Source organism: Homo sapiens, chromosome 8 (assembly GCF_000001405.40).
Source record: "Homo sapiens chromosome 8, GRCh38.p14 Primary Assembly".
Lineage (NCBI taxonomy): Eukaryota > Metazoa > Chordata > Mammalia > Primates > Hominidae > Homo > Homo sapiens.
Genome location: NC_000008.11, coordinates 34,127,262 through 34,144,535, shown reverse-complemented (window position 1 = coordinate 34,144,535; position 17,274 = coordinate 34,127,262). Strand labels below are relative to the sequence as shown.

The following is a 17,274-nucleotide window of genomic DNA, read 5'->3' as shown; positions in this document are numbered from 1 at the left end:
TTTTTCTTCTAAAAGAGCTCCAATAAAAGGATCTAGATGCCGAGCCTCTTGGTTCCAGGTGACATGGTGTTGGAAGGCACCACCAATTGCTATCCAGGCACTGGTATCTCCCTTGAGGGCCCCTGGCTGGATCAATCAAAAAACTACCCCTGAAACACAGATTTCATTTCATGTTTCCCCACAGGACACCATTTGTCAAACAGCCCCCAGGCCAATGAGAGACCCCAGACGTCAGATTCATTAAGCCTTTCCAGAGCCAAACAGATGTCACATTGAGCCTGTTTTATTTTTTCTCATTCTCTATCTTTATCCTTGCCTTTCTTTTTATTGCTTTGTCTTTGTACCTCTCTTCATTACATTGCCCCATTATTATTGCTTTACTAAAGCAATCATCATTGAAATGCCTATCCAAACATCCATTAACATGCTTTCTGAATATGCTGTTTTCCAACTGCTGCTTACTGTAAGGAAATAGATTATCCATTATCAGCAAGAAATGTATCTGACCTAAAAACCAGAAAAGTCCATGGTTTAAGACATATGAAGAACTTACAGAAAATCAGAAAAGAGAAATATTGTCAATTCACAGTACATTTGTTATCCTTATTACAGATCATCATTAATAGCTTTAGATCAATACACAACTATGATGCTGATAAGATTTAGCTTTTAGAATGTTATGTAACCAGGGATTATTCAGTCTAACCCCCTTATTTGATAAATGAGGAAATAAAACTACAAAAGCAAGTACCAAGTTCTACTTTGAAACTCTGTGATCATGCCAATCCTCCATACTACCTTTAGATGTAATAAAATCTGCTTATAGCTTTAAGAATACAAGCTGAATTCACTTGAACATCACTTATGTGAAAAAAACAGCTTAAAAGATTGTGTTCAATGGTCCAAAGACCCAGCAATAACCAAATATTGGTATGCTGGGAACATTTAACCCTTGGTTCATATCTCATAATAAGTACTCCTTAATTACCTACCATGATGCAATTTATATCAAAAAAATTAACAGTATAATTTAGTAGTTATAAACACAGACTCTGAAGCCAGATTGCCTGGGTATGAATACTATTTTACTCCTTTAATATTTCTGTGACTTTGAGCAAGTCAGTTATGCTCTGTGCTTGTTTCCTCATCTATAAAATCTGAATAGTGATAGTAACCATGTGTAGGGTTGTTTTGAAGATCACATCAACTATACAGGTAGAATGCTTAGAAGAATTTCTGGAACGAAACACATACTACATAAAGGTTAGCTATCATAAAATATTATTTTTTAATTGGCTGCAATTATTCCCTTCCCTATCCCCAATGCCCCTTACAAAGTGACTGTACAGCAACACCCATGAGAGGTAAACTCTATCCCTGGCTCTGAAACCCGGCCTGGCCTTGCCACTTGCTTTGGCTAGCAGAAGTAATAACTTGCCAACTTTGAGCCTACCCTTCAAGTGGCTGTCCATGCTTCCACACTCTCTCAGAATTTTTCACCATAGAAACAGGCTAGGGAGAAAGACCAGACAAGATCAGCAAAACTGACATAAAACTGACTACAGACGCACGAGGGAGCAACAGTCACCTAGCTGAGCCCAGCCTAAATTACTAACCACAGAATGGTGAGCTAAACAAATGGTTCTTATTCATATTTTATTTTATTTTTTAGAGACAGGGTCTGGCTCCATTGCCCTGCTTGGAGTGCGTTAATGCCATCATAGCTCACTGCAGTGTGGAACCTCTGGATGGGCTCAGGTGATCCTCCTGCCTCTGTCTCTCAAGTAGCTTGGATGATAGGGGTGCACCACCATGCTCAGATAATTTTTTTCCTTTTTTTTTTTATTTTGTATTGTTACCAAGGCTGGTCTTGAGTTCCTCGCTTCAAGCAGTCTTCCAACCTCAGGCTCTCAAAGTGTTTAGCTTACAGGCATAAGCCATCACTCGTGGCCCCTCTTATTTTTAATTTTATCATGGTTAATTGTGCCACAATAGCAAACTGATATAACTGTTACTACTCTAAAATACATTTTAATGTTATCAAAAATTATTTTATTCTTTTCTCATCACGAAGAAGGGGGAAGACACTCCTTTAATATTTCTCCAATCAAGAAGGGATATCTGGGCCCCTTCCTTTTGAATCTGGGTGGGCTTGTGACTAAGAGAACACACAATTAGTGATGCTGTATGACTGCCAGGTCAAAAAAAGACCAGGCAAGTAGCCCCCCAATTCTCTTGGAACATGAACTCTAGGGGAAGTCAGGCATCAAATAAGCTGCCTCACTATACTAAGGCTGTTGTACTGGAGAGGCTGCATATAAGTGTTCTGTTCAATGGCCCCAGCTGAGCTCCCAGCTGATAGTCAGCATTGACTTCCAACCATGTGATTAAGCCATCTCATACAACCAGCCCAGTCAAGACATCCAGGCCAGGCATGGTGGCTCACACCTGTAATCCCAGCACTTTGGGAGGCTGAGGTGGAAGGATTGTTTGTGTTCAGGAGTTTGAGACCAGCCTGGGCAAGATGGTGAGACCCTGTCTCTACAGAAAATAAAAACTTAGCCAGATGTGGTGGCTAATGCCTGTGGTCCCAGCTACAGGGGCAGCAGAGGTGAGAGAATCATTTTAGTCCAGGAAGTCAAGGTTGCAGTGAGCGCTGTTTGTACCACTGTGCTCCAGCCTGGGTGACAGAACAAGACCCTGACTCAAAAAACAAAACAAAAAAAGACTTCAGATGACACCAGCCCCAACTGACATCTGACTACAACTTCACAGGAGATGCCAAGTAAAAATTATCAGTCAAGTCCTTCTAGAATTCCTGACCCAGAAATCTGTCAGCAAAATTAAATGATTGCTTTAAGCTGCTAAATTTTGGAGTAAGAATTCATACAGCAACAGGAACCAGAACATCACTATGGTGTGACTGATTCATATTAGAAAAATCAAGTGGTGTTTGGAGGATGTGATTTCCCATTAGAAAATTCAAAAACCAAAATGATCCCTCAAAAGACTTAGAAATAAATGCAGGTTTATCAACAATACATGAAGCCGGAAAATTACCTGGTCCATTACCCACGAGCTCACCATTCCCTGACAGTTCCTACTGCTTAATTCTAAGAAAGCTACTTTGAACAGCAGAAGGTACTTTCTTCTTTTGAAAACAATCAAGATTTAGGATTATGAACACTCTTCCCCAAGGTAACTTGGAGCTGAAGAACTTGTAGTCATATAGAACTGGGTCCATATTGTACTCTGATTTGTGCTTGTCTTTAAAGTTCTATATTTTACAGCAACAAACACATTTGGGTCCCATGGGCTAAAGTGGAAATATTTTTTTATTATACCCTCAAAGCATTTGGCTTGTATTTCCATAGAAACCTGCCTGAAGAGTTCTCTTGGGAAGCAAGGATCCATGGAGTAGAAAATGAAACACTAAATGTCATACAGAGACACACTGGTGTTTGCATTTTAAACTTCATCCAATTGAATAAAGTGTATGTCTATAGGTCACTTTTTCATGACCGAGAAATACTGGTGACCAAACATCAGCATTTGAGGGCAGAGAACTAAGGTCATTTGATATTTCCCTTGCTTTTTATTTATTTATTTTTTCTTGTGATGCTAAGTTTCCAAATCTCTCACTAGGGAAAAAAAATTCCAAAAGCACTTTACTAGAAAGACAGATATATTCTTCATGGCAGGCAATGCTCTTGTGAATTTGCTCACTAATGGAAGTAACTTTAGGAAAGGGCATGTCATCTAGGTTTGGACCTATTAGCTTAAAGTAGATAGTGCAGCACATCTATGCTGAATTCGGGCAGAGTTGGGGTTTAGCACTTGGCTCTAACACTAACGTGCTACAAGATTTTGGAAAAATCATTTACTTATTTTATGCTCCAGTTTCCCCATCTATAAAATATAAGACATAATACTTATCTGGAGGGACCCAAATAATATTGTGTATGTAAAGCAGCTAGTACAGTGTTTAGCACAGAGTAATTGTTCACTAAATGCTTGTTTCAGAGCTGACATTTAAAACCAATGCCAAGTTTCTTATCAAGCTGGTTATCTGTGCAATTCTGGGTAAATTATTCACTCTGGACCTTAGTGTATCCACTGTTGAACAATTTTTTTAAAAAAAAAGCATTATCTAGTTTAAATGTAAAAATATGTACAGCACTTTTAAAAAATATAAGGTATACTACAAATGGGAAGGAGGTTAATGGTGATTATGATCATAATTGTAAAAACTTTATAATAATGGCATTTACTTGGTAACTATTTGAGAGTCTTCTACAGGATTCTCAGCAAGCATACCTTAAATGTCCTTTTGAAGGATGCCCTTACATATTATTGTTACAAAATTAAAATGTCCAAGCCAGGATCCATCCTGAGCAAGAATACAGACGTAAAGTTTGTCATTATAAGCAACCCTCAACACATATGGACTTGCATATACCCAGGCTTAACAAATGTATTTCATGTTTTTCCCTATTTACCTTTTTTTTTCCCTCCATACTCATTCTATACCCACACAAACTCGAATGTGCCCAAATTTCTCACGATGTTCTGAGGCTCATCTATCTGAAAGCCAGAGTCACCCTTGAAATTAGTATGTGATTATCTGGGGCTGATGTAACTTAAGACATTGAGGCTCTTTGTTGGGGTGTGACATTTGTGAGCAGAAGATCCCAAAATACACTGCACTAGCTGGGGATTGAACTGGACTAAAGATGGTGAAAGTGGAAATGACATGTTTATAGGTTTTCGTGGGGAGAAGAAAGAAGAGATTCGAGTTACTAAAGGAATTCCTCTTCCCCAAATGTTCATCCTGCTTTAGGTGTCCCAGGACCAATAATGGCAGAACACTGAAACCCTCTACATCTTGCAAGATTTCTTCACTTTCTGAGCCTCTGATTTCTCATCTATAGGACAAGTATAATTATACACAGTGGCGTGCTGGTAAATGTTTTAACAACCAACTCTACGAGGAATAAAAAAGGCTTGATTGTAACACTTTCCTATTTCTGTGGTGTATTATAAATAGACCCACAATGGCCAATTTGAAACCATAATGTGACATAACTGAACACAGAGTTGGGAAGAGATTTGCTCTAGTACATTGTATAATGTTTTCACTATACAAAAACAATAGCTTTAAATAACCTCAGAAGCACAGATATTAGTAAATATAGCAAAATAACTATGAATTAATAAGTTTTTTTACTACCATTTTAATATATTTGTTTCCACAATTTAATTTTGAATAATGTCTGTATTTTACAACCAGCTCTCAAAATTCCTGAAAAATGTGACAATCAACTCTTGCTAGCTGGTATGACCCTGTTGCAGCACTTCACTGATTTTATTTGCTTAAAAGCCTCTTTTGAGAATTATCATGTTACATTTTATATTTAAATCTTAAACCATATTTAAACTGATTACTTCATATCTTTCAAATGTAACAATCTCAAATAACCTTACCAGTAATTCTGGTAAAAATTTATGCTACTCAGATGTCAATTGCCTTGTTAGTATAGTTAAGTCTAAATGCTTGCCATCTTATCAGATAATGTTAATACAAACTTCAACAGCTGCAGCAGTGACTGGAATATGTAACTGTGATGGCATCAACAGCAAGAAGATAGTCTAGGGGAGGAATAAATCAAGATGGTCCACATCCGTGCCCCTTTTACTCACCCAATGCATGTCTCTCAGGCCTCATGTGGAACCAAAAAAGGATGTAAAGGAGCTGGCAGTTCTGTGGCCTGGATAGTTAAAGACAGGTAAGACATCACTGTTTGTGACTGTGTTTTTGTTTGTTTGTTTGTTTGTTTTGTCTATTGTGTCTGGAAAGGCTTCTAGAATCCCCTTTCTCAGTCAGGTAGATTGAAGAAACCTGTTATCACGTGAAAAAGAACAATGTAAGAAATGGACTAGACAAATAATTGGTAACAAGAAAGGATAAATAAGAAGTTGATAGGCAAAGGGGGTGAGAAGTGGAAAGAGGAAGAGGAGAGAGACAAGGAGAGACGTTTCATTTACTGCCTATCCTGAGGCTAAAGTCTAACCTAGCTTATTAAACAGAGGAACCTGTTATAGAAATCAGGCTTCCAGGAAAATTCCTCTAAGCCAAATTGCTACCTTTTACCCAAACAATGCCTTTCTGTCTGTATTTAAAAATGAGCAATAACAAAGATCCAAAGATAGGAAACAGTGGAAAGACTTTTAGTAAATTTAAGAGATTCCTTTCATCCTTCTACTATTAATACTGAAAAGATCTTTCTTTGGGCAGGCAGAGGCTCAAGAGTAACATTACAATTTTATGTTTTTTAACAAATGCACTAAGCACTTCAAGAAAAAAGACAAACTCTATGACAGATGTCGTAAGCAAGTTTTTGTAATAACAGAGTATGTGTTGAGTGTTGCTGTCAATTTGCTTCTGTTTCCAACCATCCAGATACTTTCCCAAGTCTTGAAAAAACAAAGCCTTAAGTTGATGGGAACCGAAATATCTCAAACTAAGTCAGCCTGGTAGAGCCACTTGATCCAGCCAGCTGAAATGCAGATGGAGGACTCTGAAGACTGGTGCGAGCAGTCACTTTTATTTTTAACAGAAAATGTATACAACCAAGTCTGAAGGTTAGACAAATCTGAAAGACAGGTAACGGTAGAAAAGAGCAAGAAACAGGAGATCCACAAAGTTTTAGAAACAAGAGAAAATCATGCTCTGGAAATAGGGGAGGGTGACTGTTCTTAATGTGGTGTGTGTGTAACTACATGCGCATATGCGCACACATACATGCTCAAAATGTAACAGTTGAGATCATCAATCGGTAGTGATCAATTAATGCACTTTTCCTTTAGATAATACAAGGAGGAGACTTTCTTCACTTCTTTAAATAATGAAAAGAGAAAACAATTCAAGTTGTTCATGCATCACTAGGATTTAAGTAGAACTCCACACAACTAAGAAATATGGGGGGGAAATATGGTAGCACAGTTTGCTGTTACCACTAATTACCCTGCAGTATAGCTCCAAGAATGTTCCTCTGCTTTTATAAAACTGTTTTCTTTTGAAGTCTTAGAAAATAATTCAGTCAATAACTAACCCCATATACATGCAGAGAATAATGGCAAAATCTATAGCTACGAAAGGGACTGTTATGAGGGAGAAATGCACAATATAATTCTAAAGAGATGAAGAATTTATTTATCAAGCGTGTTAAAGGCACAGTGTCTCCACCTACTGTAGAGTAGGAGGATTCAAATCTTCAGTGTCTTGGTGTTTGGTCTTTTTCCTGTGAATTTTCTTCCTCTCTCTGAGTGTGTCCTTCAGAGGAAGACGCCCTTGTGTACATTGCAGGAATGCCACACCCTTATCCTTTATTTGTTAATGGACACCAACAATAAAGCATGAGGTAATTCCTTCCTTTTTCCTCCCCCAGCTAGTTGATTTCTAAGTTACCTCCCTCTCTTTTTCTTCTGTTTCTTCTACAATTTCCTCTCTGTCTCATCTCTCTGTTTCTTTTACATTTTCACCTTTTTAATTCTTCTGTTTTTACCTTTCAGAAACTTGTAATTTGGACCTAGGTTTGCTACTCTGGTTAATATCAGAACATACTGAAGCCAAGAATCCTTGGTTTGGTGTCTAATTCTGGGTTTAGCATTCAATTTCTTCAAAGAGGAGGACAGTAGAAGAGACAAGTTTCCTTTTGAGTGCAAGAAAACCAAATTTAGCAAATAATCTCCCCAATAAGGTATGTTCGGTCAGCTATGAGTTGGACCCACTAATTACTGTGGTGTACTTCTGTTGTGACCCAGCTTGTTAATGCATAGTTAGAGAAATGCTTCAGGGCAAATGATGCTTCCAAAAATATGATAGTTAATTTATATACTAGCCAGAGTCTATAAGGTTTATTTTTCTTATAGCTCTGACTTTTGCTGCATGCACACAACGCATTTGCTGCTGTCCAGGCAAGAATGCAGTATGACTCCAGCTTTATGGGAATTCACAAGGGTCCCAAGGGTCAGCCTCACCAGACTCAGAAATTGAATACAGAAAAGTACCTCAAGGGCAGATTCTCATCAGACTCATTCTCCTGAGTATGACATGCCATTTTTGTGACAGAAATACCACTCTCCAGTACTGCTAGAGGAAGAAAATCTATGCAAATATTTCCAATATGCTGAATAAAGCTGAAGGCTCAGGGGCAAACCACATTTGATGCAGGGTATTATTTAGCCATTCCTGTCTCAATGGGCTACCATTTACAGAAGGAGTCATATCTAATAGCTTTCTGGATGGAGATGGGGCATTGTGGGGATAAGTGAACTCAGAAGATATCAGAGTGACTTTTAAGAAGTCCAAGTTTTTGAAAAAGCCCTGAGTGTGGAGTTAGCTTACCTGGATTTAAGTCCCAATGCTATCACTTGAATATTAGCTGTATGATCTTGAATAAATAGCTTATCCTTTCTCAACCTCAGTTTTCTCATCCATAGAGTAGGAATGGTGTTTCCTACCTCACAGAGTTATTTCAAGGTCTGAGAGAAACATGTGAAATAATCCACAATTTCTGATGCACTTTTCATTTTCTTATTGTTACAGTAAGAAAATTTGAGACCACCTACTACAACAGACCCTCGAACAATACAGGGGTTAGGAGCACTAGCCTCCCATGCAGTCAAAACTCTTTGTATAACTATTGACTCCCCAAAAACTTAACTACTAGTAGCCTAGTGTAGACTGGAAACCTAACCAATAACATAAACAATCATTGACACATATTTGATATGTTATATGTGTTATATACTGCATTCTTACAAGGAAGCTGGGGAAAAGCCCAAAATCTCCTTAAGCTGATAAGCAACCTCAGCAAAGTCTCAGGATACAAATACAATGTGCAAAAAACACAAGCATTCCTATACACCAATAACAGACAGAGAGCCAAATCACGAGTGAACTCCCATTCACAATTGCTTCAAAGAGAATAAAATACCTAGGAATCCAACTTACAAGGGATGTGAAGAACCTCTTCAAGGAGAACTACAAACCACTGCTCAATGAAATGAAAGAGGATACAAACAAATGGAAGAACATTCCATGCTCATGGGTAGGAAGAATCAATATCATGAAAATGGCCATACTGCCCAAGGTAATTTATAGATTCAATGCCATCCCCATCAAGCTACCAATGACTTTCTTCACAGAATTGGAAAAAACTACTTTCAAGTTCATATAGAACAAAAAAAGAGCCCTCATTGCCAAGTCAATCCTAAGCCAAAAGAACAAAGCTGGAGGCATCATGCTACCTGACTTCAAACTACATTATAAGGGTCCCGTAACCAAAACAGCATGGTACTGGTACCAAAACAGAGATATAGACCAATGGAACAGAACAGAGCCCTCAGAAATAATGCCGCATATCTACAACCATATGATGTTTGACAAACCTGACAAAAAACAAGCAATGGCGAAAGGATTCTCTATTTAATAAATGGTGCTGGGAAAACTGGCTAGCCATATGGAGAAAGCTAAAACTGGATCCCTTCCTTACACCTTATACAAAAATTAATTCAAGATGGATTAAAGACTTACATGTTAGACCTAAAACCATAAAAACCCTAGAAGAAAACCTAGGCAATACCATTCAGGACATAGGCATGGGCAAGGACTTCATGTCTAAAACACCAAAAGCAATGGCAACAAAAGCCAAAATTGACCAATGGGATCTAATTAAACTAAAGAGCTTCTGCACAGCAAAAGAAACTACCATCAGAGTGAACAGGCAACCTACAGAATGGGAGAAAATTTTTGCAATCTACTCATCTGACAAAGGGCTAATATCCAGAATCTACAATGAACTTAAACAAATTTACAAGAAAAAAACAAACAACCCCATCAAAAAGTGGGCGAAGGACATGAACAGACACTTCTCAAAAGAAGACATTTATGCAGCCAACAGACACATGAAAAAATGCTCATCATCACCGGCCATCAGAGAAATGCAAATCAAAACCACAATGAGATATCATCTCACACCAGTTAGAATGGCGATCATTAAAAAGTCAGGAAACAACAGGTGCTGGAGAGGATGTGGAGAAATACGAACACTTTTTCACTGTTGGTGGGACTGTAAACTAGTTCAACCATTGTGGAAGTCAGTGTGGTGATTCCTCAGGGATCTAGAACTAGAAATACCATTTGACCCAGCCATCCCATTACTGGGTATATACCCAGAGGATTATAAATCATGCTGCTATAAAGACACATGCATACGTATGTTTACTGAGGCACTATTTACAATAGCAAAGACTTGGAACCAAGCCAAATGTCCAACAATGATAGACTGGATTAAGAAAATGTGGCACATATACACCATGGAATACTATGCAGCCATAAAAAATGATGAGTTCATGTCCTTTGTAGGGACATGGATGAAGCTGGAAACCATCATTCTCAGCAAACTATCACAAGGACAAAAACCCAAACACCACATGTTCTCACTCGTAGGTGGGAATTGAACAATTAGAACACATGGACACAGGAAGGGGAACATCACACACTGGGGACTGTTGTGGGGTGGGGAAGGGGGTAGGGATAGCATTAGGAGATATACCTAATGTTAAATGACGAGTTAATGGGTGCAGCACACCAACATGGCATATGTATACATATGTAATAAACCTGCACGTTGTGCACATGTACCCTAAAACTTAAAGTATAATTTAAAAAAAAGAAAAAAAAGAGAAAATTACTAGGAAAAGAATACTTACTATTCACTTAGTGGGTGTGGATCATCATAAAATCTTCATTCCCATTGTCCTCATGTTGATAGGCTCAGGAAGAGGAAAAAAGGGTGGAGTTTTTCTTGCTGTCTCAGGGTGGCAGAGGTGGAAGAGGTGAAGGAGGTGAGACAGGAGAGGCAGACATATTCCGTGTAACTTCTACTGAAAAAAATGTAAAATGGAATCCATGCAGTTCAAATTCATATTATTCAAGAATTAACTGTATATAGTTTTTTTACTGCCAAAGGTATTTCTTGATACAGAGCATTGAGGAGAGACAACAAGTTCAACAAATGACAGTGTAACCCTCCTCAAAAAATAAAATAAAATCAGTTCATCAAAATACCATGTCTATTTTTTATACCAATGGAAAGAACAACGGTTTTGCTTCATATTCCTTGGGCAATACCTATAATTTTACCATTACTGTTGGCAGAAATTAAAGCCTTAAGCTAATGCTGTTACCCAGAAGTACTTGTAGATTACTAATCATTTACACTTTAACTTAAAAGAGCTTCAGATCCTGTACCAGAAAAAAAGGTTGGGTATCAAGGGCCAGAGCCCCGTCTAAGGTACAATGCAAAGAAAGAATCCACCAGACCCCATTAAATGTCTTTCTTGGGGACTCAAACCTTTGTCACAGAGAGTAGCCTCAATAGTGAAAACCTGATAGACACAGTAATCTTGTTTGTGTCACACTCAAAGTCCTACCAAAAGAGGTGATGCTGCCACCTGAGACAGCTGAGAAAACTCCTCCAATAATGACTTAATACTATTTTTAGCTGCATCAGTACATTCCTGCTTAGCTAGTCCCTTTTATACACAGTTAGGAACCATACAGTTGTGAGGTAGAGTAGGGCATGATCAACTAATTAAAAAGTTGCTCTCAGCAACAGGCTTAGTTAGTACAACGGATCTTTGGGGGCATAAGCTCTCACCTCCAGCCTTGGCTCAGCTAGTACATGATTGATTATGTTCTCCTCTGTCCCAGGAGAGGATATAGAAGAAAGAAAGTCTCTGTCCTCAGAATGGTGTAGTCAGAGTAAGTGCCCAGTTGAGTTGTACAGTGAAGCCAAAGGCAAAAGAAAAATTAGGAACATTGAGCCTATCCTTATTGAGAATTTTGATAATTTATTCACATGGACTTTTTCGTCATTAATTTTGATTTTTAAAATGACTGTATTAAAATCCTGTATGTCTTGATAATTGGGTTTTGGGGCAGCCCTGTGAATGCCTTACTTGGCTCACCCTGGTCACAGCCCCAACTCAGGGTCTCCATCCTCAGAGGAGAAAATGTACGCTTTCAGAGAAGAACACAGGGCTGGCACTTGCCACTGCAGCTCAATCACCTTCCAAAAAACAACATTCTGAACATCGGCCTTGGGAAAGCATTAATGACTATGTCCTCAAAAGCCATTGCAACAAAAACAAAAATTGACAAGTGGGACCTAATTAAATTAAAGCGCTCCTGCACAGCAAAAGAAACTATCAACAGAGTAAACAGACAGCCTGCAGAATGAGAGAAAATATTTGGAAACTGCAACCAACAAAGTTCTAATATCCAGAATCTGTAACTTTAGCAATTCCGCAAGCAAAAAACAAATAATGTCATTAAAAAATGGGGAAAGGACATAAACAGATACTTCTCAAACCAAGGCATACATATGGCCAACAAACATGAGAAAATGCTCGTCATCACTAATCATCAGAGAAATGCAAATCAAAACCACAGTGAGATACCATCTCACACCAGTCAGAATGGCTATTAATAAAAAGTCAAGAAACAACAGATGTTGGTGAAGCTGTGGAGAAACCAGAATGCTTACATACTGCTGGTGGGAATGTAAATTAGTTCAACAACTCTAGAAAGCAGTTTTGAGATTTCTTAAAGAACTTAAAACAGAATTACCATTTCACACAGCAACTAAAATAAAATAAATGGTTCTACCAAAAAGACACATGCACTTGCATGTTCATCGCAGCAACATTTGCAATAGGAAAGACATGAAACCAACCAAGATACCCATCAGTAGTGGACTAGATAAGTAAAATGTACATATACACCAGCCACAAAAATAGAACTACTACACAGCCACAAAAAAAGAGTGAAATTATGTCATTTGCAGCAACCTGCCTGCAGCTGGAGGCCATTATCCTAAATGAACTAATGCAGGAACAGAAAACCAAATACCACATGTTCTCACTTACATGTGGGAGGTAAACATTGGGTTCTCATGGACATGAAGATGGGGACAACAGACATGGGAGACTACTAGAGGCAGGAGAGAGGGAGAGGGGCAAGGGCTGAAAAAGTAACTACTGGGTATTATGCTTACTACTTGGGTGATGGGATCAATCATGCCCCAAACCTCAGCATCACGCAATATACCCTTTTAATAAACCTGTCCGTACTCCCTGAATTTAAAATAAAACTTGACATTATAAATAAAACAAAACAAAATAAAATAGGAAAACATTTTTAAATCATCTTCCAGGCTGGATTTTGGGGCTCACGCCTGTAATCTCAGCACTTTGGGTGGCTTAGATGGGCAGATCACTTGAGTTCTGGAGTTCAAGACTAGCCTGGACAACATGGCAAAACTCTGTCTCTGCAAAAAATACGAAAATTAGCCTGGTGTGGTGGTGGGCACCTGTGGTAACAGCTACTCAAGAGGTTGAGGTGGGAGGATGGCTTGAGCCCAGGAGGTGGAGGTTACAGTGGGCTGAGATCATACCACTACACTCCAGCCCAGGCAACAGACCCAGACCCTGTCTCCAATTAAAAAAAAATCGCCTTCCAGATTCAGAGGTGACAGAAGCACCTCTTCAAAGGGCCAAGACAGGCCGAAATGTGAAGTCTGCCTTTTGATAAGAATGCCACCAGCTCTAAGGGAGGGCAAGAGGCTAAATGCCCACAATGTCTAGCCAGACTCATGGCCAGGTGAAAAGCCTCAGACCAGGGCCAACACCATGCCTTGTTATAGGACCACTAGGTTCAATTGCATGTTGCACAGCAACATACCAATACATCAAAACAGCAGGAGTTGCAGTAGAGAAACAGTTTAATAATTGAATGGCAGCCAAAAAAAAAGAGGTGGGAGAAATTTCAAATATGCTTCCCCAAGGAGTTTTGGCATGGGGTTTAAAAGGGAATTCTGGTGGGTAGTGGGCTGAGGGTCTGGGTGTTGCTGATTGGCTTGAGCATGAGGCATGAAATCATAATAAAACAGAAACTGCATTCCCGTGCTGAGTGTGTTCTTCAGCGGGGGTCTTCAGACTGGCTGGCGTCAGTGGACCCATTGGAATGCAGGATCTGAAAAAATATATCAAAAGGAAAATTTGGGGTTTCTTAATGTTAACGATGTTATCTATAGAAGGTAGGACTCTATGACAGGGGCTATGTGACTTCTAAACAGTAAGCAGCTATAAGGAAGTGGGCTATAGAGCAAGCTGGTTAATGCTTAGCTATGCTTCCAGTCCAACTTTTATTAATTTCACAAGGACAGTTTCAACCTGATTTCTGGAACTGGCAGAGCAACTTCTCTGTCAAAAAAGTGGTGCTCGCCATCACCTGAAGACCAAGCCCTTCTGCTTGAAATTTTGCCTCAAGGCCTCTGTGAATCTACTCAGATAGTTTTGACTTTGAGTAATTCCTGAGCCAACTAATTCCTAGCCAGAGCCCATGTATATTCACGACTTTAGTTCCCCTTGCTCCTGCTGGTTCCTTACCTCCACCCACAGCCATGCCCAAGAGTGGTGGCCCAGTTCTCAGGTTCACTCTATGACAGAAATTAGCATGCAATATTGCTGCTTCTCTCTTCTCACGGCACAGAGCAGCTAACAGAGAGTTAAAAAGGTGAAAGATGCACCTTATTTCATAAAATACACACATTAATGAACTTGAATCTCTTCTAATCCCTGCTAGAAGGAGGGGATCTGATAAAACATGCATAGCCACATCTCTCCCTATGTTAATTCCCTCATTTTAGAAGCAAGGAGGCAGGCTGCAACACTTCGGGTTTCCTCCAAAGGTGACTCCCAGCTCAGTTCTGCTGTTGATACAGTATCATTAATGCACCTAAACTACTTAATTGGTTGTACAGACATCCAAAAGAGGGGAAAAAAGGGAGACTCAGATTCTGTCTGATCACTCATCCCAGACCACTCCTCCTTGACTTTCTCCTTTTCTACTGTTTCCTTCTGTTTCTTCTTTGACTCCTCTGTCTACATCTCCCAGAGTCTAATTTATGATGAGGCAGAAAGTACACGTTGTACCAGTCTCGGACACTTGAGCTGCCAGATCTGATTTCCCTGGTAGATGTGGAAGATTGAGGAAAGAACTGTGGCTGACAATTAGATTTATTTTTCTGCATGTGTCCCAACCCTTGACACGGAACCCAGCAGGCCACAGGTAACCTACTATCTTCTGCAGAACTGGGAGGATTTTATTGGCTCCATGAGTGGGGAGACAGAGTTTCCCAGAGTCAGGTCAGGCCCTCCCTGCTGGCTTGTCAGCTGGCTCAGCATCAGTCATAACAAGTACGGCACATCCTTGAAGAAAACACAGGGAAGAAGGCAGTGGGATATCTCTGGGAGGCAGAATGTGCTAGAAGAGGCACATAAAACTTCCACTAAATGTTACATTTTTTTGTCTTATTCCTGACTCCTTCATCATAGACTCTACTGGCCAAAGTGTTTTACAAGCAAATACGATAGTGACTGTACTCCACAGCATCATTCCCAAAGTCCCTTTCCATTCTTCATTCTTGTCACTTGGCTCCTTAAGAACAATTGTGGTTTGGGCAGTCATTAACACATTAGTGAAATGTCATAAAAATTTCCTTTGGGTTGGAAGGAAATCAGAATATGGAATATAGAAAAGCAAAAGTACTTTTTTATTTTATTTTGCCAAAGAAAGTGAAAAGAAAGAATCAATTTGTTGTTATTTACTCTGCATCAGGCACTGAAATGGAGGAAAGGGGCATAACACCTTTTTTTTTTTTTTTTCCCAAAAAAAAGGGTTCCTCCTCAAGGAGAGACTGAATGTCAAACAGAATTAAAGAAAAAGAAAATGAGCAAAATAAACAAAAACTAATGAGGGTAAAATCAACCTGAGATGCCTCTGCTAGACGAATATAGCGCAGGGCCCCTTTTATTATTTGTTTCTGCTCCTTGATACAAATTTTCTTGCTAAAATAGTCTCACATTTTGGCTTATTCATACTCAAATTTTATCTTAGTCTTTTAGAAAACCTAAATTAGGCCGAGGGGCCACAGGTCCTCCTTCCTTTCCCATACCTCCCTGTTCCTACCGGCATCTAGCTGGAGGTGCAGCCTGACTCACAGAGAACTCCTCCAGTGCCCCCCTGCCTCTGAATTTTGAGTGGCTTTGCCTCCTTCCAAGGTTAAATAGATTTTAGATCCAGATAATATATTTGAGAATTATAACTGGACACTAACTCTGTGGCTCACATTTATCTGATTTGATACAAATCCAAAGGCTGAGGACTCCAAGGAAAAGGGCACTGTCAGAGCCTTAATACCAAATGCTGCAGCCTGTAAATGGACAAAATGATATTGGTTTTGGTTGCTCATTTTATACAGTAAACACACTTGGCCAGAAGACGCAGGTCTTTTTATATACTTTTCCACTATTATTTTATGCATCAGATGCTTCTGAAACCTAATTTGAGATGCCCAGATTCCTATTCATTTTTCATCTTTAAAAATCAAGTACCCATTGGAGAATTCTGCCATTGCTCCACAGAGACTGGAATGGAAATGAATAAATAAACTTTTAAAGATAATTGGCTTCTAAAATATCCTCATGCCTCTCCTTCTCTGTTTTTTGACAACCCCTCCGGGAACTGCATGATAAAGCAACCTGGGAATCTTTGGGTGTATGATGTGTGAAAGAGAGCCAGTCCACAGAAACTAATCTCTTGGGAATTAGTGTAGTCTGCGACTTGGCTACTGCATGCTGGTGGAAATGCACTAGCTCTGTTCAGATGCCTGATTCTGATCTGCTTCTGCTAGATTCTTCTTATCCACATCTTGCTCCAGTCCACACTAGCCACTTGTTCTGACAGTTCAAAACACATATTTTGAATTCTCAAATCAAAAGGCTTTCCTGCAGTTTATTTACCATAGGATACATTTTCCATTTGTTCCTGTTTAACGTGATGAAGTGAACTGTTTACAATCTTTTTTCAGGAAACTCTTAGGACACACAACTCATTCACTTAACACATATTTGTTGATTAATTATTTTGAGGCATTTTCTCCGATTGTTGAAGATACAGCAGTGAAAAAGCAAGTGATGCTCCTGCCATTAACAAGCTTGTATTCTAGAAGAAGTGGTCAGAAAATAATCAAGAGATCAAGGAAATAAGCAATAATAATTTCAGATTATTCAAAGTGCTAGAACTAAAATGAACAGGGTCTTATACTAGGAAGTGATGTTGAAAAGAAGTGTTTGCTGTATGAG

General features: G+C 39.1%; 2 long non-coding RNA genes across 6 annotated transcripts in view; one reads left to right on the top strand and one right to left on the bottom strand.

Moving 5' to 3' along the window:
* The window catches only part of LOC105379366 (uncharacterized), a 38,081-nt gene extending 30,700 nt beyond the window's left edge, over positions 1-7,381 (top strand). Inside the window, exons 4-6 of the long non-coding RNA XR_001745705.1 lie at positions 4,841-4,962; positions 5,719-5,786; positions 6,461-7,381. This is a non-coding gene — a long non-coding RNA (uncharacterized LOC105379366). The remainder of the gene's footprint in view (positions 1-4,840; positions 4,963-5,718; positions 5,787-6,460) is intronic.
* Positions 1-17,274, bottom strand: part of LOC105379364 (uncharacterized) — a 535,736-nt gene that overhangs the window by 113,582 nt on the left and 404,880 nt on the right. For 2 of the 5 annotated variants that reach the window (NR_189605.1, NR_189607.1), the window contains one exon: positions 10,777-10,947. The exons of 2 other annotated variants lie outside the window; for them this stretch is intronic. This is a non-coding gene — a long non-coding RNA (uncharacterized LOC105379364). Of the gene's footprint in view, positions 1-5,700; positions 5,769-10,776; positions 10,948-17,274 lie in introns of all 5 variants that reach the window. One more of the 5 variants, NR_189609.1, reaches the window with a different exon arrangement.